This window comes from Homo sapiens, chromosome 4 (genome assembly GCF_000001405.40).
Source record: "Homo sapiens chromosome 4, GRCh38.p14 Primary Assembly".
In the NCBI taxonomy this organism is placed as follows: Eukaryota; Metazoa; Chordata; class Mammalia; order Primates; family Hominidae; genus Homo; species Homo sapiens.
In genome coordinates this window covers 94,659,537-94,685,821 of record NC_000004.12, presented here as the reverse complement: position 1 = coordinate 94,685,821, position 26,285 = coordinate 94,659,537, and the positions used below count along the sequence as shown (strand labels likewise).

Here is a 26,285-nt window from a genome sequence, read left to right as displayed (position 1 = left end):
CCACGTAAGACATCGCATAGAAAGGGCTCAAAACTGGTGGCAATTCTAAGTGTTTAAAACATTCAGGACGCCACACCACCATTTTGTCTTTAAAAGAAAAAAAAAAGCCTTAGGAACTGTGCCCGTACCTAAAAGCCTTGTAGGAGACGCCAGAAGTTTTAGAGATGCCTTTTTACTTGCCTGTTCTGCTTGCATTTCTTAAGTCTTTCTGTTCTTACTGTGCCTTTGTGCATTATGCCCTTCTAAGGCCCACTTGTAAAACTGCAGGATGCTGATTTCCTTACACATAGTATAATTCTCACAATGGATATTTAAAATTTATGGCCAAATCTCCCAAATGAAGGTGGTCTGGCAGCCATAATTTTTTCCTTCTGAACATAAATGACTATTAACTTGTTGGCGTTTTGCAGACAGGTTTTGATGAACTACGATATTTTGCTTAAAATCATTCCAAGAATAATGTCAGACTTCATAACTGCCTTACCCATGACCACCAGCAAGCAAAAATCACCTCCACTGCACAGCTTACGTTAAAACGAACTACAACCACAGAGAGAACTGGGAAGACAAGAACACAGGGCAGACAGCTCCTTTCCTGCAAACACTTGGGAATATACTCAGAAGTGGCACAGAGATTAGACTATAAATATCTATACGTTGATTTCTGCAAGTATAGAAATATGCTGTGAGAATAGATTTTGTAGGCTGTTTCAGATTTGAAAAAACTCAGCAGATGGTTTGACATGAAAACAAAGCAATAATCAAAATTCACTCACAGTGGCAATAGAAATATTTCAGTTAGTAGTGGGGGTGCTGTTTAGAACAAATGTTTCCCAAATGCCAGACGATGTTAAAATGTTCATTCATTCAGAGCAAGGTCAGACAAATTTGCAACATTCCTACATGGAAAAGCAAATGTATGTATGTATGTCAGGGTTACATTTCCAACAATCCTTATTCAGGAAAAGTTGCCAGTTATTCTGAGTGTGCCCTTTCAACTGCTTTGATGTTAAAGTGTTCTTTATGTAATTAATACTTTCCACAGTAGATAATTGTCAATCTGTGGAAAGTTTTAAAATTGTCAAACTCTGAATTTGTTTTTTTGGAAATGTTAATGCTACATGAAATCAAAAAGCCTCAAAACCAAAAATTGACTGCACTTTCTATTTTCCAGGCCACTGGTTTCTCTCATATCAATCATCCCAACAAAGAACAGGGTGGGAAATCGGGCGGGGTGGGTGGCAGCAAGACCTGACACTTGTTCTCAGGCACAATCTCAGTGCAGACACACAGGTTTGCATAGAGAGCTGCAGTCCCCCACACAGAAACCCACTGAGAAGGAGTTTACAATTATTTTCTGTTCAAGAAACATAAAGAAAAAAAATAGAGAGAAAAGGGAAGAATGAAAAATGAAGTTCAGGCCGGACGTGGTGGCTCACGCCTGTAATCCTGGCACTTTGGTAGGCCAAGGCGGGCGGATCACGGGGTCAGGAGATGGAGACCATTCTGGCCAACATGGTGAAACCCCGTCTCTGCTAAAAATATAAAAATTAGCCGGGCATGGTGGCGCACGCCTGTAGTTCCAGCTACTCAGGAGGCTGAGGGGGGAGAATCACGGGAGGCAGAGGTTGCCGGGAGCTGAGATCGTGCCACTGCACTCCAGCCTGGGCGATGGAGTGAAACTTCATCACAAAAAAAAAAAAAAAAAAAAGAAAAGAAAATTGATGTTCATTATGCAATGCATAGTTCCATTAGGACCTTTATTCAAAATCTTTTTGATACTTTGCATTATTTTATACCATCACTAATGAATGAACTTTCTAACACATACAATAGCTCTCAGGCCATGCTACCTTGGGTAAAAATGCTTTTCCTAGATAGGCCTTTCTGTCCTCAACTATAAAACAAGAGTTGGACTCAGTTGCTAAAGTATCTCCCAACACTATCATGGCACACTCATTGACTTCTTTAGCTACCAAATAATACTTTGTGCCTCAGAATGCTTGTTAAGTGGGAAGATTTGGATGGAAGTTAGTGAATATTAAGGATTACTAGCAATTGCATAAAGTGCTATATGCACCACATTTAAGATCTATTTTCATGTATCATATTGTCCTTTTTCTTGCTTCTTGAAACTCTTCTTTCATCATGTTACTTTCCAACTGAAAGCCCTGTGTAGCTTTTCATTATTAAACAAAATAATGAGGCCTCTCACTCAAGTGCCAGGCTTTGCAGGTTAATAAAAATTAGTGAAGCAAGCTGGGCACACTGGCTCACACCTGTAATCCCAGCACTCTGGGAGGCTGAGACTGGCGGATCACCTGAGTTCAGGAGTTCGAGATAGCCTGGCCAACATGGTGAAATCCCGTCTCTACTAAAAATACAAAAAAAAAAAAACAACTTAGCTGGGTGTGGTAGTGTGTACCTGTAATCCTAGCTACTTGAAAGGCTGAGGTAGGAGAATCGCTGGAACCCTAGAGGCAGAGGTTGCAGTGAGCCGAGATGACGCCACTGCACTCTAGCCTGAGCGACAGAGTGAGACTCCATCTCAAAAAAAAAAAAATTAGTGAAGAGCTTCTAGGTACACAGAGGCAAATGAGCCTCTTCCTGCCTATGAAAAGGGACTGTGGGGCTGGGCATGGTGGCTCATGCCTGTAATCCCAGCACTTTGGGAGGCTGAGGTGGGTGGATCACCTGAGGTCAGGAGTTCGAGACCAGCCTGACCAACATGGTGAAACCCCATCTCTACTAAAAATACAAAAATGAGCCGGGCGTGGTGGCAGATGCCTGTAATCCCAGCTACTAGGGAGGCTGAGGCAGGAGAATTGCTTGAACCTGGGAGGTGGAGGTTGCAGTGAGCCGAGATCCTGCCATTGTACTCCAGCCTGGGCAACAAGAGCGAAACTCCATCTCAAAAAACAAAAGAAAAAAGAAAATGGACTGTGGCCACTCAACTCCAGCCTCGGGGGGCCAAACCTTAAAGGATGCCAAAAGTTGCCAAATCTCTCTATTCCTTGAAACAAGATAGAAATCTGATCCTTTGGGTATACTACCTTCAGAATTTTAATATCAAACATAATTTAATAATTATGTTTAAAATGTCCTAAACCTGGTGGCTATATAAAGATCACAAGTGACAGGTGGACTTGGTTAGTTGCTTGGTTGCTGGTTTAGAATTTCTGAGATAAAGGATTAATGTTCTGAGAACCAAGACTCTTTCACATAGCCCTGAGTTATCTTTGGGCCTCCAATACACACCTTTTCTTTTCATTTTGTTCTTAGAATCGGCAACTGAGTCCAACACTCCCAATATACAGATGAGGGCACAGAACATAGTTTTTTTTTTTTTTTTTTCAATTCAGTGGGTACATGTGCAGGTTTTTTCCATGAGTATATTGTGTGATGCTGAGGTTTGGGCTTCTAATGATCCTGTCACCCAAGTCCTACTGAATGTAGTACCTGATAGGTAGTTTTTCAGCCATTGTCCCACCCTGTCTCTCCTGTTTTGGAGTTTCCAGTGTTTATTGTTCCCATCTTTGTGTCTGCGTGTACCTATGTTTAGCTCCCACTTATTATTTATTTATCTATCTATCTATCTATTTATTTATTTATTTATTTATTTATTTTTTGAGACAGAGTCTCGCTCTGTCACCCAGGCTGGAGTGCAGTGGCGCAGCTTGGCTCACTGCAACCTCCACATCCTGGGGTCAGGTGATTCTCCTGCCTCAGCCTCCTGAGTAGCTGGGATTACAGGCACGTGCCACCACACCCAGCTAATTTTTTTTGTATTTTTAGTACAGACGGGGTTTCACTATGTTGGCCAGGCTGGTCTCAAACTCCTCACCTCAAGTGATCCACCTGCTTCTGGCTCCCAAAGTGCTAGGATTACAGGTGTGAGCCACCGCACCTGGCTTTAGCTCCCACTTATAAGTGAGAACAAAAAACAAGGGCTTTGAAAACAGACAGATCTTCATACAAATTCCACATTTGCCATTTGCTACCTGGTGAAATACACTTGACTATTTTGAACCTGTCTCGCTAGCTTTAAAATAAAGTCCAGGGCTGGGTGCAGTGGCTCATGACTGTAATCCCAGCACTTTGAGAGGCCAAGTCAGGAGGACTGCTTGAGCCCAGGAGTTCAAGACCAGCCTGGGCAATACAGGGAGACTCTGTCTCTACAAAAAATTAAAAATTAGCTGTGTGTGGTGGCCTGGGAGGCTGAGGTGGGAGGATCACTTGAACCTGGGCAGTCAAGGTTGCGGTGAGCCATGGTCATACCACTGCACTAACTCTGGGTGACAGAGCAAGACCCTGTCTTTAAATAAATAAAGTTCAGAATTCCTAAGCACTAGGTTGTGAATTGGTTTCTCCCTCTTTTCCCCTCCTCTTGCCAGGCTGGAAGTGCCTTTGGATACATACATCTTTAGTCTTCCACCTGCACTATGCTTTGCCTGTCACTTACCTTGTTTCCACGCAAACTTCAAGGCCTGACTTATATCCCAGTCCCATATGTGGCCCTTTTAGACCAGCTCAGTCTGAAGCAACTTCTCCACCTTATCCTCTCAGAAGCATTTGTTTTGCCATCACCCAAAGTCTTTCTGTCTTTCCTTTGTCTCATTCGGGATTACAAGGAATACACTGAAAATGATCAACTCCCATTGTCGAATTCTAACCTGAGTTAGGAAGAGTGAAGTGACTTGAAAAGAAAACACTCTTAGATATTGTCTAAGTTCCAAATTTTCATAAGTCTTAAACACCATCCCATATATAAAATCATATAACCCTCCACAGTGATACAATACTTCTGCATAGGATAATTCAGAGACTTGGAGAAGGTTATCTTTCAGATGGTTTCTTTTTCAGTGCCAACAAAGACCAATTTCAGGCATCTTTTCTATCCTGCTAGCTAAACAACAACAAAAATAGTATCAATAATAATAATAACTAGCATGTACTATCGCGGCTGCTTCCTCTTGGACCCCAATTTGTGGCCTCAGTTCGAAGCTGCTAAAAGATCCTGCACGAATTTTGCTCTGGGCTATGTTCAGACTTGATGGTGAAATGCTTTGGAAACACTAAGGTACACAGAAGCCTCAGGAGTGTTTTTCGTCAAAGCCTTGCTTTAGTGATAAACCCTGCTCTCAAAGGAGATAAGTAATGCCCTCCTGCGGCAATCCATTTCAATATCTGTCCACCAGAGGTTTCTCTGGAGATTTATTTGCACTAAGTTCCCATGATGTCACATAGAGGTGGTGATCTGGAAACAGAATTAGAGAGAAGTGTTTGGGGGAATTATTCTGATAAATGATTGGTCCAGGAGGATGGTGAAGGGAGAACACAATCCTAATGGGCCTTTCTTACTTGGGATAAATGATCGACTGCCAACTGTCCATAATCTTTCAAAGCTCATAAAATCTAGCCGCACAAATTGCCAAGTGCACATGACGTACCTAGAGTCCAAAAGGAACAAATACTGTCCTACACATAAAGCATCCTTATGTGTGCTTAGAGGGAACTGTCTGTAAAGCTTTGAGAATTTTGTTATGTGGCCAGAAAGTCATTGGAAGAACAAAGCGAACGTTGTCTGGCTGGACAACAACTCAAGACAAGCACTGGGCAGGATGGAGGAGGGAAGCCAAGGAGGCCCCCTCATCAAAGGAGTCCAGCAAAGCCCGAAGGGCACCACACACCCTCAGTTTCTTTTCTCCATTTCCATCAAGCCCAGCACACCGAGACAGTCCCACAGTCTCCACACTCTCAACGTGAGCGCATTCACGATGTTTTGAGGACTCTCTTTTGCCTTTAAACTGCTCCTGAGAGTTAATTTTTCTGGACAAAAATGTGTGGGGTGAGGATTACAATGATTTCTCAAAAGCTCTGCAGATTTCTAGAATGGGTGAGAATCACTTTAAGACAATCAACTGAACAAATAGACAAAGTATAAGAGTTTTCTATTTTTAACTTCAACTCAAGTTCCACAACAGCCCTTTCGGGAGCATCGTGTGGGAAAAGGCAGAGGTGATTCCCTTCATCTGAGGACACAGGTCCAATTTCCTGTGCTCTTTGGCAGCGTGTTTGCCATCTGGTTCTTTCACCTATTTCCATGATCATCTCAACCCTTAAGAATTATTCTCTGCTGGGTGGGGCATGGTGGCTCACACCTGTAATCCCAGCACTTTGGAAGGCCCAGCCAGGTGGATCACGAGGTCAGAAGTTCGAGACCAGCCTGGCCAATATGGTGAAACCCTGTCTCTACTAAAAATACAAAAATTAGCCAGGTGTGGTGGCGCGCACCTGTAGTCCCAGCTACTCGGGAGGCTGAGGCAGGAGAATGGTGTGAAACCAGGAGGCGGAGCTTGCAGTGAGCCAAGATTGCGCCACAGCACTCCAGCCTGGGCCACAGAGCGAGACTCCATCTCAAAAAAAAAAAAAATTCTCTGCAAAGCCCCTTTCCAGTGCCTAAGAGCAGACTTAAGCAAGGGTGTGTCAAAGGCTCATCTTGTTGTGCTGCTAACCCTGTGAAAATGAACTCCCTTTGGGCACAGAAACAACAAAACACAAGAAAAAGAAAATTGAACACTACTAAATTTTGTATTATGGAAATTATAGGGAGTCCAGACTTGTGAAATTTCATCAAGATGAGAACTACATAATTTTTCTTGCAAGCCAAAAATAGAGTGTTCAGGAAGCCCTGCCCTGTGAGCAAGTCACAGTAAAAGTCAAAGGTGGTTAGTAATGTTACAGACACTTGGACCTTCATTCATTCAGACATTGGAATGTGGTCCACTAGTCACCAAAAACCTGACTCAAAAGTGGAGAGAGAGACAGACAAAGAATTAATAACATGCACCAACCTAAAAACCTTGTTAAACTATTTATCATTAGAGTGAAGTGAAAGCCATTAAAATGGTCTAACAAGCCCTGTCTGGCCTCCCCAAGCCCCTCTCCTCCCCAACCTCCTTGCTCTCTTGCTTCCTCCAGCCACCCTGGCTCTTTGCTGTTCTTTGAACATGCCAAGCTTTCTCCTTTGCCTGGAGCAACCTTCTCCCAAATATCCACATGGGTCCCTCCCTCACTTCCTTTGGTTTACCCATTCCTATACTCTGTCCCTCACCCTTCTTCATCATGCTCCATTTACCATCTGATATTCTGTATATTCAGTTGCTAGTTAGTTTATTCTAGTTCATTTATGCTGTTCCAATTAAAATGGCCTGTGCTTTTGCACTTGCTGGTTAGACCTTATATTGATACAGGAATGTATATGCATTTGCTACATCTCTAATATGTTACATGGAATTAGAAGTAATGTAATTTTGCTGTTTTTTTAGGCGACCTCTTGGTCCTTAAACTTGCTTCTGAGTCCTCTGAGATGGAAGAAACTAAAAAAATAAGACTAAATATCATTGTAGCAGAATGTCTCTCTCCTGACTGGAATGTCAGCTTTAAGAAGGTAGAGACCTGTGCTTTGTTTATTGCTAGATCCCAGTGACAAATATGGTGCATGGTAAAGTCTAGTTGCTCCACATATCTTTGTTCAATAAATGAATGCGTGAAAGGGTGAAAGAGGCACCAACATATGTGGTTCATATTCTTTCAACTCCCTTGCAGAAACTTGTTCTGGGATGACAGTATTCTGCTCTTAGAAAGTGTTGATTAAAAAAACATGACTTTATGTAAATGATGGTCTTCCCTACCCATTCAGAGTTTGAAAACATGGGCCGTTTTGTTGCCCAATGTCTCTTACAGAAGGATCAACACAATAAATTCCTTCAAGAATCCAGGGCTTGGTGATTTCTCCAGAGTAACACTTATTTGCATCTTTTGAAACTGACTGTGCAGACCACATAACACTTTTCTCTTAGCTTAGCTGCCAGGAAAATAATTTAATACCACTGTTGCTACTAAGTCATGGAAAGTGTGTGTGTGTGTGTGTGTGTGTGTGTGTGTGTGTGCATGAGCCTGCACAGGATGCTGCTCTAATTAAAATGACCTGTGCTTTTGCACTTGCTGGTTAGACTTTATATTGATACAGGAATGTATATGCATTTGTTACCTAAGATGTTATACAGAATTAGAAGTAATGTCATTTTGCTGTTTCCTAGGAGACTTCTTGGTCTTTGAAATTGCTTCTGAGTCCCCTGAGATGGAAGAAACTAAAAAATAAGACCAAATATCATTGTACTAGAATAAACCTAAAGGAGAGCCATCTGCCAGACCATGGGCAGATGAGAGAGAGAGAGAAAGAGAGAGAGGGAGAAATGAGTAATTAAAAGAGAAGGACCAGTACTGATGGAAGTAGGGGAAGATTGCATGCTATGGCCTCAAAACTAACCCAACGGTATCCTGGAATATCCATTACTCAGTGGAGTACAGCATTCATGTTGGCCTCTGTCCAAGCAGGTTTAGTGGGAAAAGTATTAACACCTGCAAGGTGGTCCCACAGCAAGGTCCCTGAGGACAGAGGTTCCAGTATAGCTGGGGAAGGCAGGAGGAATAGGCTGATCCCAATACCACAGAGCCTGCTGCTAAGTGACAAGGCACTATATCATATAACAAACTGCAGCTTTAGAATGGGAGATGCTGGAGGAATGATTGAAACCCATGCATCCCACAGATGGACATGGAATGAGCGAGCAGGGCTGCCCTTGGAGAACATAATCTACATACCAGAACAGGCACGGGTTTGTTTAGGTATAAGCCATGGCAACAAATTTTAGCTTTGCAGCTCTCAGAACAGCTGTACAGCAGGGCCCTTGGGCAAGGCCAGCAATGGCTTTCCTGGACTCCCTACTCTGAGTTCTGTTGTATTATATCTTCAAACAGCACCTAAGTGTTAAACCTTCAGTTCATTTGCACAGCACAGCTAAGAAAACAAAGCAACTCCCAGACCTCCCCGTGTGGCTGCAAGACAACCTTTCCACTTACCTCCTCTCCCAGAGTGAAGCAGTTTTCAATAGTTTGAAAAGAAAAAAAAAAATCTGCCTATTAGTTTTAAGGGGGAAAGCATTGAAGAAATGGATTACGATTTAAAACAAAAACAAAACTATTATTTAGGAGAAGCCAAAGTCATTGTGGGGAGTTTGATTGGATGTGCATCAAACAGCACAGACCCTCAATCCCCCACAGCTGGTTTAATGTGCGATTAGAAGAAATGTAGGAAGCTTTCAGCTAAGTCAGTTACAAATCTTGTTTCTGAGAACTTGAGGAATCCAGAGGCCTTTCGGTGGTTTTGCAAGTTAGAGGTATCTTCTGCTAAAAAATTAAGAAATTAAAGTGCCCGATGCTTACTTCCTGCTTGTTTCATATATTGAGTTCTCAAGGTGTTTTTAAAAGAGTCACTTTTGCCTTTTTAGTAATAGCCATTCTGTGCTTTAAAAAAAAATGTGTTCACATGGACATAGAGAGTAGAATGTTAGGTAATGGAGACTTGGAAGGGTGAAGGGCTAAGGGTGAGAGCCAGGAAGACGATGATGTGGAATTGTTTAAAGGGGCAATGTTAATCAGTTGATACATACCCTAAAAGTCCTAATTTGACCACTATGCATGTAACAAAATTGCACATGGACCCCTAAATTTGTACAAATAAAAAGGAGGCCGGGTGAGATGGCTCACACCTATAATCTTAGCACTTTGGGAGGCTGAGGCAGGTAGATCACTTGAGGTCAGGAGTTCGAGACCAGCCTGGCCAACATGGTGAAACCCCGTCTGTACTAACAATACAAAAAAAAAATAGCTGGGTGTGGTGGTGTGTGCCTGTAACCCCAGCTACTCAGGAGGCTGAGGCAGGAGAATCGCTTGAACCTGGGAGGTGGAGGTTGCAGTGAGCCGAAATTACGCCACTGCTGTCCGACCTGGGCAACACAGCGAGACTCTGTCTCAAAAAAAAAAAAAAAAGAAAAAGAAAAAAAAAAAGAAAAAAAACCCTAAAATTAAAAGGAAACTAATTTAAAAAACAAAAGAGTTATGAAAGAACGGTAGAAGACCTACCAATCTAGTCAATTTTTATAGAGAAGAAAGCTCTGTTCAAACCCGGTCAAGTGACTTTTGCAGTATCAGAAAAATATTAAGTGACCAGCAGGCCAAAGACACAAATCCATTGCCTCTGACTCAGTGCATGCTCCTCTGTAACTCACTCCTGCCACACTTCCATGAGGTTTATTGTTAAATATTAGAGAAATGAGCATTCCTAATCTGGAATGATGAAAAAAATCTACCATTAAGATTAAACTGAATTCCAAATTCCCTTGCAGGGCTTACATCCATTGCTGGCATTTAGTGTTCTGGCTCCGCCAACAGCCCATGCAGGATCTGTTGTACCAGTTTTACTTTTCACTAGTGTCATAGAAATTCTAAAAGAAAAAAAAAATGATGAAAAAGCCTTGCAAAGTTCTCAGAGCAGATCATACTTTTCTATGTATCTAAAATCGAAGCATGATTCCCTGATTTTAGACTCCAGAGGAGGAGAGAAAACATTGGGCTTTACCTTCAGGCTCACAAGGTTCCTCAGCATTCTGTTTTGTGATATCTAAGCCAGACTCTCAAGTGTGGTCTGTGGACCAGAAGCACCAGCATCATCTGGGAGCTTGCCGGAAATGCACACGTATTGGCCCCACTCCACTCCAGCTGAATCAGAATATCTGGAGGTGGGCCCCAGGTGAGTCATTGAACACAATCCCCAGGTCCTTTGTTCGCATACTAAGGTGAGAAGTGTTGGTCTAAATCTAGAACAGGTGCTTCCCAAAGAGTGCTCCCAGACCAGCAGGATCAGCTTCACCTGGGAACTCGTTGGAGATGCAGAGTTTCATCCTGCTCCAGACCTTCTAAATCAGAAACTCTGGGGGTTGGCCCAGCAATCCAATTTTAAGAAGCCCCCCAGAAGATTCTGATGTAAACCAAAGTTTGAGAACCACTGGTCTAAAATGTGAAGAGAGGCACAACTCAGGACATTCACCCTAAACAAACAGAAGGGATAAACCAGTGTTTCCCAAATTGCATTATGTAGAATAGGTGTTCTTTAAGTAAAGTGTGCATGGTCAAATATATTTTCGAAATATGTAGCTAAAACTGTGCACGACTACTCAGCTTAAAGATGTATTATGAATATCTGAGATAAGACAGTTGATGGTAATCCCCAATTTATTTGGGATCACTTAAGATTTAAGCAATAGCAATCCATTCATGTATTTCCTAATATGTCTCATTTTCTGAACAAAAGATTAAAAATTTGAATTTGTTTTTTGAGTATCACCTCATCTGTATTCTAGGAAAAAGGGCTGAATATGTTGTCTGAAGCTCTGGTAGTTTCACACGCACTATCTCATTTGTGTCACTATGGTTCTTCAAGACTGAGTATTATCCTCTAAGATGATGAGGGGACACACTAATGAAGAAATGCAGGTTCAACCAAGTTACGTAGTTTTTCCAAGGCCAGAAGATTCCTAAGTGAGGGAATATTGGTTAGAGTTGATCAACTGGACAATTGCCCAGGGTGCCAGTCCATGAGAAGCTCTAAGACATTGCTGGAAACATTACAAGATGGAAATGACAGGGTGGTTCTTGGTGAGAGAACTTTGTGGGGCTGGATGTGCTATTCTGATAAGCAGCTTAGAGTCAGGGATTGAGACTCCTAAGAGAGATTGTGGAGCAACACCAGGTAATTCCTGGCCAAGGGCCACTTTCCTGAGTGTCAGGGGAAAGTGTGGGGCAGAGCTAGGTGATCAGAGTACTTAACAGACTGATCTTTGTTCCCAGTTATTCTCTATTTCCTCCCTCCTCACGACAAAGTGCTCGGTCTTCCCTCTACACAAATGTGGAATAATAATTTAACAAAGCAACATAATTGACTTGAAAGGGATCCAAATTATTAGCCAGTCTGTGGCACTCCTACATATAAATTCAACCTGAGTATCATCAAGATTCATGCTCAGGTGGGTTTTTAAATGCCAGGACCTGTGTTAAGCATACAGGTGTTAAGCATAAAAGGAAAAGATAAACAAGATCTTTTCCTTTTAAGAATTTGACTGTTATATTTACATATAATTGTTACATTCAATTACTACTGGTTAATGCTTCTACTTTAATAGCAGTTTAAGTTGGTTTTGAGATAAACTGTAATCCTTGAACATATTCCATTGGCTACCCATCATACTGGTGTGAGAATGAAATTTATTGGTAGGAGAGTGAACTTTATTACAATCCTTTCAGGAGAGATTCTTCAGTGATTTTTTTTTTTTTGTTTTTAAAATTTTGGGTAACTAAATATTTTCAGGACCCTTTGTTACAACTTAGAACTCAGGCAAGCGTTCCAACAAAGTCCTAGATCTTAAATGAGAGTAAAGTCAACTCACACAGGTTTCTGAAATATAATAAATGTAACAGAAGTCTAAAACACTATTTCATCAATGTTATTTTAGTTTGAACCAGTTTAAGAGCCTAAACACTTAAGATTTAAGTCACAGCAGTCCATTCACATATTTCCTAATATGTCTCCTTTTCTGAACGAAGGATTAACAACTTGAATGTAAGAAGCAGGTGTGAGTACTCTCAATAGGTCAAATCCTTAACACCACCCAGACAAGTCTACAATTTCTGGGCACAGTACACGGCATGCGTGAATTTTGTTTCAATGTTTTCCATAGCTATAGCTTAGAAAGTCACATAGCCATATCCTACCCAGACTTCCATTCCTAGTGGCAGAAGTATTTGCTGATGATTAAAAGGTCATGCAAAACAGATGTGAGGGCAGCTGGATTTTCCAGCTATGCTTCAGTGGACTTAGCAGTGGTGCCTGTCATTACCAAATAGTAGAGAGATTTTATTTCAATTGAATAAAACCAAGAATCTTATGCAACCTTGTCAATATAATTGGGCATACATGCAGTTTCTCTCCCCTCTCATGGAGGTCTCATCTTTTCCATCCTTCATTTTTCAGACTCACAGTCTGGAACTAAATCCATCAAACAGGAAAGGTAACAATTAACTGGGTGTCAACCATTCTGACCTGTTTTTCCAACATCTTATAAATAGGTATTATTGACCTTGCTGTGTGAAAGTAATTTTAATTGGATTTCCTACAGTCTTCTAATTTGTTTGATACCACATTTGGCGTTATCCACACTTCAAATCAACTTTCTCTCCTTATTTCTGTGGTTGTTTTATATCCACAGTGTATAGACTGTGAAATGTAGTGAAAACACAAAGAACAGCAAATGGTGCGTTGCAGAGAGGACTATCAATTCACAAATACCCTTGAAGAACAGATGGTCCAATTGCAAACCTCACAGATATTGACATCTGTGTAGCAGGCAACTGCACAAGTCATACAGAGACAGTCTTTAAGTTTTACATACTGTAGCAAAACTAAATACTTTTTAACAATATCCTTTACCAACTTAATATATGGGAATTGTCCCTTATTAATAAGAAGGACCTTAAGGGAATGTGGATAAAGTAATAAATTTCCTTCCTGGGCTATTAGAAAGTCTAAGTCTCAGATTTGCTTTAATAACTGTTTTTAGAGACTCATTTCGCTGAGTTTCCATTTTCTCATCTGTAAAATGTAGATTTAAAAATACTTGACTCTCAGAGTTTCTCCAATTTAGAACTTTACAGTATACTAGTGTACCAAGTAATATAGCACACAAATTACAAAGACAATACAACAAATGTAAGCTGTCATTATAGATCTGCTGGGCTTGAGCCCTTCATGGTTTAGTTTATTGTGAAGGGGGAACTTGTTAATCTCCTTGCTTTCTATTGCTAAATATGAAAATCATTCATTTTTTTTTCTCTATGACAAGGACTGGAGTTTATATAGAAAAGCTTCTATAAACTGAAATCACAGTTAACTAACATAAGCCTTCAATTAAGAATGTTTTACTCATTTTAACTGTAGGAAAAGCATTACAGTAAAACAAAATGAACTAAAAAAGAAAAAAGAACCTTCAGTTATATCTTATATACATCCAACTAAATCTCTTAAATATTCAGGACTAGTTATACTGAATATTTAGACCTTGAAAAACACAATCAATGCAACGTTGTTTACTTTGCACATTGAAAGCATATTAATGAGAGGATTTTTGACAAGAAAGGACAAAGTTAGAAGAATTTCTTGTTTGACTTTATAATTCACCAAGTATATGCAGTGACATTCTGGATAATGGAAGCTTCAGTATAGTTGAGAATCTAGTTTCTATTTTGCATTCAAGAGTGCCAATTATCAATTTACTGACTTGCACATCCAAATTGCACCATTTACTCTTCAGTACCAACTTTGTGATATTAATCATTTCTACTTTACAGTGATCATGATGCTTTGTCCCAAGGTAGCAGAAGGACTATTCCAGAAGGGGCCTCTCTTCCTGGATCTAGGTGTTGCATTTGTTTTTTTCTGTGTGGTCCATCAGAGCGCATGTGTGTGGAGACAACTGGTGGAGTTCTGCCCCAGCTGTGCTTCCAGAGTGCACAGACCCTCAGGAACTTCACATCCCGGGCTGGGGCCTTCACATCACCTTAGGAACTTCACATCACCTTGCTTCATGACATGGGTACTGTGTATTCCAGGCCTGTGCCCACAGCGGCACCCAACTCTTTCTGTGCACTCACCCATCAATCTTGTCTGCATTCCAGAGAATTGTTGCCTTGTCCGCGGAACCTCAACAACACAGAGAACTATTATTTAGTGGGCTGAAACCACTTTCTCCAAAAAGGTCCTACCCCCAGCCATGAGGAGGGCATCTCCTTCTAAGCTTGTCTTCTTTGGGTCCTCTCTCAGCCCCAGGCTGTCCTTTAGAGGTCACTTCATATTTTTAGTTACTCTCCTATCATAGCTTAATAATTCCTTATACTAGACTCTAAGTTATTTTGTGATTTCTGTCCTCCTGATTGCATCCAGATTGATCTACCAGGAGTAACCACTTTTCCCCCTCAGCTGTAATTTATATTCTCGATTATAATCTACGTTGATACAGTCAAAGGTCATCCAGAACTTCCCAGATACAGGCACAAACAAACTATAAGAGATTCAGATCAATTTATCTTTTCTAGGGGCAGGAGAATTCAAAGCATTTATAATGGTATTAGAAAAATCACTAAGCAGTAGCATAGTAATTTAGCAAAGCAGAATGAATGGTAAGTTCCAGTTAATTAAGCTGGAATTAATTTAACTTATATTTCAAAGTTCATACTTGAAAAGCTCCATGGATTCCTCTGCTCTCCGTTTCATTCAATTAAGGAGGCTAAAATTGTCAGGATTCTCAAGGAAACAGGGATAGAGAAAGCTTCCGGGGTTAGATGACATCAATATAGGTTAAGTAAGCAGTTTTATTATGCCAAAACTAATATTGCTATGATGTAACTGGAGTTCTATTTACTTTCTCATTTACCAAGGGAACAAACGGGCATATTAGTAATAAACTAGGGTAGAAAATTCAAGACACACCTGAAGGTATTATAGTCTACTAAAATACTTTAAAACAAAGAAACAATGGTATTTTTGAGTAAGTTAGAATAGCACCAGTTGTGTGTGCTTTACAAACAAAAGAAACAAGGAAAAAAGAGGAAAAAGGAAAAAAAATCATTATATTTGAACTAGAGAGCAAACATGACAGTTTAGAATATGAAGATGAAAAATAATTTGGAACCCAATTAGAAAACTTCAGACAGAAAGAGCAGAAACTTTGTCCTTTGAAACACAGATGCATAAGAGACCGTGTCAATCAACTCAAGGACCTGGCATAGAAGTCATTTTCCTTGGGAACTGTATTTACCATATTTGAGAAATTGAAAAATTATACTCCCTGAGAATTCTAAATTGCTTTATTTATCTCCCCAAGGTCAGACAAGTGGTTTTCGGACATGGAAATATCCCATTCTACACTAAACAACAGCTCCAAGCTTTATTGTGTGTTATTACATGCAGTCACAGACAGGACAAAATAAAAAAATTGCCTTCTTGGCAAACTTCTATTTAAAAGGGCTCCCCTAGTGCTCTACCTTTAGCGAAAATCACAAAATGCATCTCACTTTTCCCCAACCCTGTGTTCAAGGTATGAAGGCTACACCTTTCTTATTAATCATTGATGCAATCTTGCCACCTACCCAGACAGATTCTAAATCACAGAATCAAAAGTTCTGTAATATAATACTATAGACAAATGGTATACAGTCCTGTAAATTCTCCTCAGAAAATGAATAGTTTGGCAAATCAGGCACTTGCCGCATTAAAAATAATATGCATATCTCCATATACGATAAATACACAGGCAACATTTGGGCCCGGTACTTACTGAGTTAAATCCTCTCATTCATACGTACAACACAAAACCATATCAGTCTGAGATTTCTGTTAGGTAGCCATGTGTCCTAGCACCTTTCCTCTGTTAAATTTTAAATACTGCAAAAGAACCATTTTCCCTGGGAGGCTCCCACACTTGGGATGAAACTTTCTCTGCGGAATTTTGGCACCCTATTAATTAGTGGTTATGAGTGGGAGCTGCTCTCTCTCAGCAACTCCTATTCTGCCATCAGTCAAGTGTGATTCTGCAATAAATTTCCACGAAGCAAACTATTTCTGGTAATTCTCCCTAATTAACACCAGGCCTGCTAATAATACATCAGTACCTATGTGTTTCTGATATAACCAAGATCTTGTCTGAGCATACCCAAAAAGGGAAACCGCCAATCCAAATTAAGCTTTTGCTGGCAAAAGGATTTTATATGTAGTTCTGTAAGAAAACCTTTGATAATCTTATATTGGGGACATTTCGACTAGAAAACACTGAACGACAGGGAGGCTTGCTCTGGTTTGAGCACTGAATGGGGATTTATTGTGAACACACGGTTGAGACTTAAGCCTATAAATCTTGTACTGGATTACTGTTTCTTAACGAAGGAATGACAGATCTCTTATTTTGTCGGTGCATTTTAATGTGCAATGACGTGATTGATAGAAACCAAACAGCAGCTATTAAAATGTCAGATGCAGACTTGATGCTCTTAAAAGTTTGGCTTCTGGAGTTTAATATACTGTGAGCAAATAGACTTGAATTTCTCTTTTATTCCCAACATAGAGCGTGCAACAGAAACATCTGTCTTAACTTTATACAGTTGGAAAAATATCTTAAACTAATAAACAAATGAGGCAGAGGTGAGCCTACCTAGTTGTGGAATAGTCAGTTAATGAGATTGAGATGAGTTAAGCATCCCAATATCTAATGCAAAATGTGGAAATATGGATGATGATTTATGTTCTTTGATTATGTTCTAATATGATGTTTGATATGACAGGTTGTTCCAATAAATCATTTCAGCAATAAATATTTTCAAAAGACAATAGACCTTATTTATCTATTAATTCATAAACATTGGGTACATTCTACATGCACGGCATAAGAACAGAGAGAAATACAATAAATGTGACAGTATTTTCAAATATTTTGTTTCTGAGACATTTTGATAAGCAAATATCATACTAGAAGGGTTCTTCTGAGAATTATTACATCCTATCCTAACCTGTGAATATGGAACTTGATTATTTTCCCATGATGACTTGATGGAAACCACTCGCCAACCAACAACAACAAAAAGGAGAGCTCATTTACAACAATGCAGTCATTTATTTATTGAGTATGTGCACATTATGGTATTATTACTATACTGATTATATTTATCATGTGACTTCTAATTAGAAAATGTATCCAAAAGCAAAACAGCAGATATACAAAATTAAAGAGACAGAAGATAGACATTAACAGATAAGGCAACTTATACATTGAGAATCCAAATCCAATACATTTAAACATTTGGGAAATGAGGGGGACAAATGGAAGCCAGATCAAATTTGTGTAAAACTATTCAGTATGTTTCCCTTGCTTCATGTCTGAGAAGGCTCTCCCTTCAATGGGGATGACAAACTCCAAATGCCACACAAATGTTAACAGAATACTAGATTCACACTGGAACGGGGGTAAAGAAGAAATTATTTTCTATAAAAGGGCTCCTAATGTAGTACTGCTTGAAAATGGTACATTTTTGTTGTAGATTATTTTAAACATAATGCTATAGTAATATTTTGAAGATTTGAGCTGTTATTTCCATTTGTTTTTACACTGTGACTAAATGATTAGGTTTTAGTTTTAGACTCTAAACGGAACCTGAATTAATAGGAAATAAACACGGTACTATAGTTGTCCTATGGTGCCCCTATGGGTGATGGGTTCCAAGAACCCCCTAGGATACTAAAGTCCATGATGTTCAAGTCCCTTATAGAAAATGGTGTAGTATTTGCATATAACCTATGCACATCCTACCATACACTTTAAATCATCTCTAGATTACCTATAATAGCTAATACAATGTAAATGCTTTGTAAATAGTTGTTATACTATATTGTTTAATGACAAAAAAAAGTTTGTACATGTTCAGCAAAGGCGCAACCATCCATTTTTTTCCCCAAATATTTTTGACCCACAGTGGGCTGAATCACAGATGCGAAGCCTATGGACATGGAGGGCCAACTGGACAAGCATAAGCAGGGGATACTTTTTAGGTTGCTACTTCAGCAGGCAACATTCAGACCATGGAAGTCTAGAGAAAGATTATAAATCTGAACTTACCGCTAAAAATTTTAAAATGGGAAATAAATCCAAGGAGTTTTTAGTCATGCATTATGATTTTAATCTATGTTATGCCAAGTACAGCATTCCAAAATATACATCTAGAGACTAAAAGTAAATGCTCTATAGTGAAGAAGTAATAATTAAAAAATGCTACTAATATAGAAAATTTATAATCAGAAAAATAAATATTCAGGGAGCTCACCAGAAGAATAAAGTGCTCTGCCAGTTATTAAAGGATTACTGCTGGTGAATTAAATATGGCATTCCCCAAGGGAAACAGAGAGATTCTTCTGGATTATGTTCAATATTTATTTCACAGGATTAACTGTTTTAGGAACAGATATAAAGCTTCGCCACGGAAGAGATGGACAAAGCACAAAGACAACATGATACCTTAGGAAGCAACACTACCCTTTCAGGCATAAAATTTGGAGAAATGCAACATTATGCTTCATGAATAATATGTAGAAAGAAGGTCTGATGAAAATGACATCCTTAATGTAAGATAACTTTATAAGAAATCTGGGTCAAATAAAATTCTTTGAAGAAAACATCCAAATGTCATTGACTTATCAAATACTATCTTGGCATATAACCTATGAAGGCAAAACTAAACAAACAAACAAAAAGCTCACACCAAACAAAACCATCAACTTATTTTGTATTCTATAACATACAAGACTGTAAAGATGTGACAGTGTACATTATATGACAATGCACATTAGCCAGCAAGTCTTTTATAGGTGGTTTCAGCAGCAACGATAAATAATGCAGAATTCAGCTCCAGCACTTTATTTCAAAAGAAATTTCCTGCCTCCCTCCAAGATGCAGGGTGAGGAGGTAGCTTGGGGTTGCTATTGGAGAAGTATTCAGTTTGCTACTTTGTGTCACCCCTTGCCATTCTTTTATCCCCAGTTAATTATTATCTGCATATAATATAAATCTGCTAGACCATAAATTAACAGCTTTCAGGACAGATGCCTTGAAAGTTCTTAGGGAGGTTAAACAAATATTGTAGCCTAAAACCTCCTCTATAACAAACATGCACACAATGGAAGTGATGTCGTAAGTGAGTGATGGGGCAGGAAGGACCTAGGGCTCTGTCTCGACTATAAAATCACCTTGCCCCAAACAAATTTAAATTATAACTTAGGAGGTTCATGGACTTTCATCCATTCTGGAAACAAAGAGAAAAACCAAATCAAATACCAGAATCTGTTTTCTCACTGGGCAAATAGCAACAGGATCCACAGTTTTACCACAATTGTTTCCCTGTCTCCATGTGGTATCTACATAATTCTTTTCCCAAAGGAGGAAATCAAATAACAGGCCAATCTGAGTAATTAAACTCCCCTCCCAACACTACCCAACCTCTGTGAATAAAAGCTTTCCAAACTTTGTGATCACATTTGAAATTGGTTCACTTATTATTGAGAGAAAACCACAAAAAGTCTCAATTTCATCACATCCTCAAACCAATCTTTTAATTTTTAAATGCAGAAGAAGAAACAAAACGAAACAAAAAGATCATTCTGCAAAGAGACCTCTCAACTCTTCATCAGCCAGTGGCATAACTCAGAAACTGATTTAACTAATTTATTATTTGAGAAAAGGGGATTGAAAAACAATTGGGGGGTATAATCTTCTGATTCACAATTCCCAGCCACATTCTTTTCTATTTATTCTCTCTCTCTCTTTTTTTTTTTTTTTTTTTTTTTTTAAGAGCCGGAGTCTTGCTCTGTCACCAGGCTGGAGTGCAGTGGTGTGATCTCAGCTCACTGCAACTTCCGTCTCCTGGGTTCAAGAATTTTCCTGCCTCAGCCTCCCAAGTACATGGGACTACAGGCACGCCCCACCATGCCCAGCTCATTTTTGTATTTTTAGTAGAGACAGGGTTTCACCATGTTGGCCAGGATGATCTTGATCTCTTGACCTCATGATCCGCCCGTCTTGGCCTCCCAAAGTGCTGGGATCACAGGCGTGAGCCACCACACCTGGCCCTCTATTTATTCTCTTTAAAGAGAGAGAAAACTATGAGAGGCCAAAATTATTTAATTAAATCTTTACCTTAGCACAAGGGAAAAAAATGGAATTTGCCTAATATAGGTGATGAAGCATACACAATGAATAGAAACAATCACATTTTAGTAAAAGGCAAAAATTTGAGACTTATAAGCTATATGGTAGCTTATTTTTGGGTGGGGAAGAAATGAGAAAAGAATATAACATCTCTTACTGGCATGACACATTTTGATAAAAAATCTTATTGTCCTTTCCTACTAGAATGATCCACTGTAAGGCAAAAATAATATACAAGCAAAGTTTTTTTTTGGAGACAGAGTCTCACTCTGTCACCCAGGCTGGAGTGCAGTGGTACGATCTTGGCTCACTGCAACCTCTCCCTCCCGGGTTCAAGTGATTCTCGTGCCTCAGCCTCTTGAGTAGCTGGGATTACAGGCGCGTGCCACTGCGTCCGGCTAATTTTTGTATTTTTAGTAGAGATGGGGTTTCACCATGTTGGCCAGGCTGATCTCAAACTCCTGACCTCATGTGGTCCACCCACCTTGGCCTCCCAAAGTGCTGGGATTACAGGCGTGAGCCACCGCGCTCAGCCTACAAGCAATTTTTTAAAAACTGACACCTATTACTGATAAAATTCTCTGTTTAAAATCCTATTTACTATTTTAAAGATAAGTATTAGTTTTTTTTTAAATACAATAATTCTGTTATTGATAAAATTTAAGGCATTTTCATTGCCTTTTGCAGATTTACTCATAACTACCTAACAAGGAAAGAAGGTATAATTATTTCAGATTGGATTATTTATTCTAAAATTAAATTCTTCACTAATTTATTCTAAGATGAATTTAATAGTCCATCAGGAAATTGGTTTTTATAAAGCTTATTTTATGGGCATAAAATACAGGAAAAAGTAATAATAAATGCCAAACCGTCTCTTTACTTTATGAAGCCAAATATTTCCTCAGACTTGGTTTTTAAAGCTGGAATTTATTCCTTCAGGGCCACTATTATTTTTCAAAACTCCATATAAATATTGAATCTAAAAATTAATTAGTAATTTTAATTTTCCTTTTTCTCTTCAAATTCCTTCTCTTCTCCTGAACTGTTGACTTTCAAAAATTCACAGAATGAGCATGTTTCTTACACAGGGGCTTGTCCTTCTTGGAGAAAAAGGTCTGACCTTCCAAACTTTCACAACACACCTGAAAAAGAAGCAGCATTTAAGAGATATTATTTAAGAGGATATTAAGAGGATTTTACCCAGTATGCTGGAGAAGGAGAGAGTGATTTTTCCCCCCAATGGATAATATGACAAAACACTTTAGTTGGTTAAGTTAGACTCCCTAATATTTGACGATTACTATAACATTAGATATAATCTTTCAAAAGCAATGAAAAATTGCTTTTTCCTAGAATGTATTCTAATTTATAGAAAGCACTGATCATCACTTTTCTTTATCCAGAGGGAAGATTTATCCCTAACTTGAAAATCAATATAGAAAGGGGGCTCGTTAAATATATTTTATCTCCCCAAATTATAAACAACGTCCTAATTTTGCTTTGTGTTGTAGAGACTCATTTGCTTTACCAAACCTTCCCAAGCCCAACATTAGCTTGCTGCCAGTTACACAGGCACAGAATACCTGAGACCCTTTTTTTTTAAGGGCTGCCTTGTGTTCAAGCTGAGACCTCTTTTGTTTGTTTCTTATAACCAGGTCAGTATCTGGCTGCTGAGGATTATACAGTCAGTCCACTATCTACATTTACAGCTCCTTGTTCTTCCTATTGCCTTTGTTAATTAGAATGAACAGCTTTATTAGAAAAGAAAAGGCAAATCTGCTAAAAGTTCTGCTTTTTATAGACTTTATGAAGTCTAAGAGATGGATGAGGTAAACAAGCAAAAGTTCAATGGTAATGTTTGGGGAAATCATTAAGCACCGATTAATATTACTTTTGCCCCCTTTGTACAATGAGTATTGAAAACTGTAGATATGTTAAATCTAATTTTAAAAAGTCAAACACCTGAACAGAGCACGTTTACTGGATATTTACTTCCTACATTTAAAAACTATTTATTTTAATATTTGAATCCATCCTAATCATTAAACATAAAACCAAAAATATTAAAATATCAAATGAATAGGCAAATACTTTATCACGTTTATTGGACCATAGTCTCAAAAAGAAAAGAATATCCAGGGGCTATTGCTAAGAAAAGAAATGACTCAACATATAGTTTATTCCCAGTGTTAATCCAATAGCCGATTTTTATAATTATTTATTTGTATTTTAAGAAGTACCTAACGTTTCCAAAAACTACAACAAACACTCCAGTAACAGAGGTTTTTTTTTTTTTAAGTAAAGGAATCTTACTGTTTTAAGAAATACATAGCTTCTCCTTATAGACAAAAATATATTAAAATTGTATTTTCTCTAAGGACTAAGGATCTCACTGTGTGCCAAATAATTTCAAAAATGCCAAAAAATTTAATAAACAACTTTCGAAATTTACAAAAAATTAAAAATAATTTTTCCTTAGGTTTGAAGGACTGAAAGACCCAGAAGCTGATATTTCCATTAAATACTAAAGCTAGAATTGGCCATACTATACCCCTTTAATTAGGAAATAAGACTCTACTTACTGAGCATACAAAGCAAGTGTCATGCCAGGTGTAGCCCAGAGCTTCCAGGAACATGTCACCAGCTTCTATGGGAAATTCACATCCATGGCATATAGTACCAAAGAGGGCATAATAATCTGTATTAAGGGAGGGCAGAGAGACATAATTTAAACATGATGAAGTTTTAGAATGATCGTTCCTAGAAGGCAGCAACAAAATCAGGATTAGATGAGATGCTGAAGACAAAGATATTAGGAATTTGAAAAATTTCAGGAGATGGCATAACATTTGGCTTGAGAGAGATGTTTAGCATGTTTCAGGATTCCCTTGGTATAAATATTATTTATACAACCTAACATTCTTGATTATAATTTTCCATGTAATACTTCTCACTTCTCACCAACTACTTAATTGCCTAAATACATATAAAGAACTGTTCTGGCCGGGCGCGGTTGCTCATGCCTGTAATCCCAGCACTTTGGGAGGCTGAGGTAGGCAGATCACGAGGTCAAGAGATTGAGACCATCCTGGCCAAAGTGGTGAAACCCCGTCTCTACTAAAAATACAAAAATTAGCTGGGCGTGGTGGCGCATGCCTGTAGTCCCAGCTACTCGGGAGGCTGAGGCACGAAAATTGCTTGAACCTGGGAGGTGGAGGTTTCAGTGAGCTGAGATCGCGCCACTGCACTCCAGCCTAGTGACAAGAGTGAGACTGTCTTAAAGAAAAAAAAAAAAAAGAACTGTTCTGTGACCAGTTATCAGTAGACATGACTGTTCTGAAGAAATACAAAGGACTTCTAATAACTAGCAACAATAAGACTAATGAAGAGAGATCAAAAACAAAATCTGATATTGGCAAATTTCATAGCGTATCTGACTTGGTCAAGGAAGAAAAAAGAAACATTACAGGAAACTTACATGAATAAGTGCTATGACTGAGTTTCTAGCTAGACTGTATCACAACGATATTAGCCACAATTTATTTTGCTGTATTTTCCTTTCAATTTTATGACTTCATGTTGAAAACCCTTAGCCAGAAAAGACCATTTACTTGACATAGATTACAGTTATAAGAATACTAACAGGATTTCCTTCTGACAAAAGCAGTTTTGAGATGTTTCTCTATTACTAAATTAGAATTTTCTTTTTTTTTCTTCTTTCATTAGAGAGACAGGGTCTTGCTCTGTCACCCAGGCTTGAGTGTAGTGGTGTGATCATAGTTCACCGCAGCCTCCACCTCCTTGGCTCAAGCCTCCTCCTGCCTCTGTCTCCTGAGTAGCTGAGACTACATGTACAAGCCACCATGTCCAGCTAATTAAAAAAAAATTTTTTTTGTAGAGACAGGGTCTTCGTAGGCTGCCCATGCTGGTTTTGAACTCATGACCTCAAGTGATTGCCTCACCTCCCAAAGAGCTGGGATTAAAGGCACTGAGTCACTGTGCCTGGCCCTAATTTTCTTTTCTTTTTTGTCTTTTTGAGACAGAGTCTCGCTCTCTTGCCCAGGCTGAAGTGTAGTGGCGCGATCTCGGCTCACTGGAACCTCCACCTCTCGGGTTCAAGTGATTGTCCTGCCTCAGTCTCCCGAGCAGTTGGGATTACAGGTGCCCACCACCAAAACCTGGCTATTTTTTTTATTTTTTTTTATTTTTAGTAAAGACAGGGTTTCCCCATCTTGCCCAGGCTGGTTGACCTAATTTTCTTTTATGCAGCTCCTCTCACTACTGTGTTGACTCATGGTTCACCCTTTGGCCTTTGACATTGTCAATCCAACCTCAGCTGGAGAGGAAGGCAGGCTATAATTTGCAACTCGATTAACCTTACTTGGCAATTGTCAATCTTTAGTATTCCTTAGCACCATTTGCTCAGCATAGATTCATGCAGTCTACTGTGTGCCAGGCATTGTTCAAGGCACTGCAGGGGTACAGTGGTGAAGAAGACAGTTGAGGTTGCTTTCCTCATGGGGCTCATATTCTCATTGGAAAGAGGATGTCATGATTTATTGAATTTAAAAAATAAATGATAATAAATAAATTTCAGATTATGATAAGTACCATGAAGGAAAGAAAATAGTAATTTAATACAAAATAATTGGGGGGGGCACTACACTATTAAGGAAAATTAGAAAAGGCCTCTCTGAAGAGGTAATAGTTGCAATGAAACGTGAATATAGAGGAATCGCCGCAGAAAAACTGACAAAGAACATTCAAGTTAGAAGAAACAGTAAGCACAAAAGCCCCAAAGAAGGAAGGATCTCAGCATGTTCAGAAAAATGCCAAAGGGCTGCTTATGGGTAGAATCTGGTGACAGAAGGTAAGGTGAGAGGAGATAAGGATGGCAAAACAGGCCTTCAAAAGTGTAATTTGGCCGGGCGCGGTGGCTCACACCTGTAATCCCAGCACTTTGGGAGGCCGAGGCAGGTGGATCACTTGAGGTCAGGAGTTCTACACTACCCTGGCCAACATGGTGAAACCCCGTCTCCACTAAAAATACAAAAATATTAGCCGGGAGTGGTGACAGGTGCCTGTAATCCCAGCCACTTGAGAGGTGAGGCAGAAGAATCGCCTGAACCCGGGAGGTGGAGGTTACGGTGAGCCGAGATCGGGCCACTGCACTGCAGCCTGGGTGACAGAGTGAGACTCCATCTCAAAAAAAAAAAAAAGTGTAATTTTTTTCTAGTGGAACCCACTAAAGGGTTTAAGCTTGATCTAATTCACATTTCAAAAACTATTACTGGTCAGGCGTGGTGGCTCACGCTTGTAATCCCAGCACTTTGGGAGGCTGAGGTGGACGGATCACGAGGTCAGGAGATCGAGACCATCCTGGCTAACATGGTGAAACCCCGTCTCTACTAAAAATACAAAAAAATTAGCCAGGCGTGGTGGCGGGTGCCTGTAGTCCCAGCTACTCAGGAGGCTGAGGCAGGAGAATGGCATGAACCCGGGAGGCAGAGCTTGCAGTGAGCCAAGATTGCGCCACTGCACTCCAGCCTGGGCGACAGAGCAAGATTCCGTCTAAACAATACA

General features: G+C 39.4%; 1 protein-coding gene across 6 annotated transcripts in view, besides 1 other annotated feature; it reads right to left on the bottom strand.

Moving 5' to 3' along the window:
• Positions 15,514–17,528: an enhancer, noted in NCBI's record as "VISTA enhancer hs1438". NCBI's record gives its function as "enhancer in: midbrain (mesencephalon)[4/11] | limb[5/11]" and the evidence as "EXISTENCE:transgenic organism evidence [ECO:0001131][PMID:17130149]".
• Positions 17,599–26,285, bottom strand: part of PDLIM5 (PDZ and LIM domain 5) — a 216,282-nt gene continuing 207,595 nt past the window's right edge. For 5 of the 6 annotated variants that reach the window (NM_006457.5, NM_001256426.2, NM_001011513.4 and 2 more), the window contains 2 exons: positions 23,285–23,400; positions 17,599–21,844 (listed from right to left, as the gene is read on the bottom strand). In NM_006457.5, coding sequence (NP_006448.5) covers positions 21,755–21,844; positions 23,285–23,400 — 206 coding nt within the window. In that variant the 3' untranslated portion in view covers positions 17,599–21,754. The remainder of the gene's footprint in view (positions 21,845–23,284; positions 23,401–26,285) is intronic. The other variant, NM_001256427.2, reaches the window with a different exon arrangement.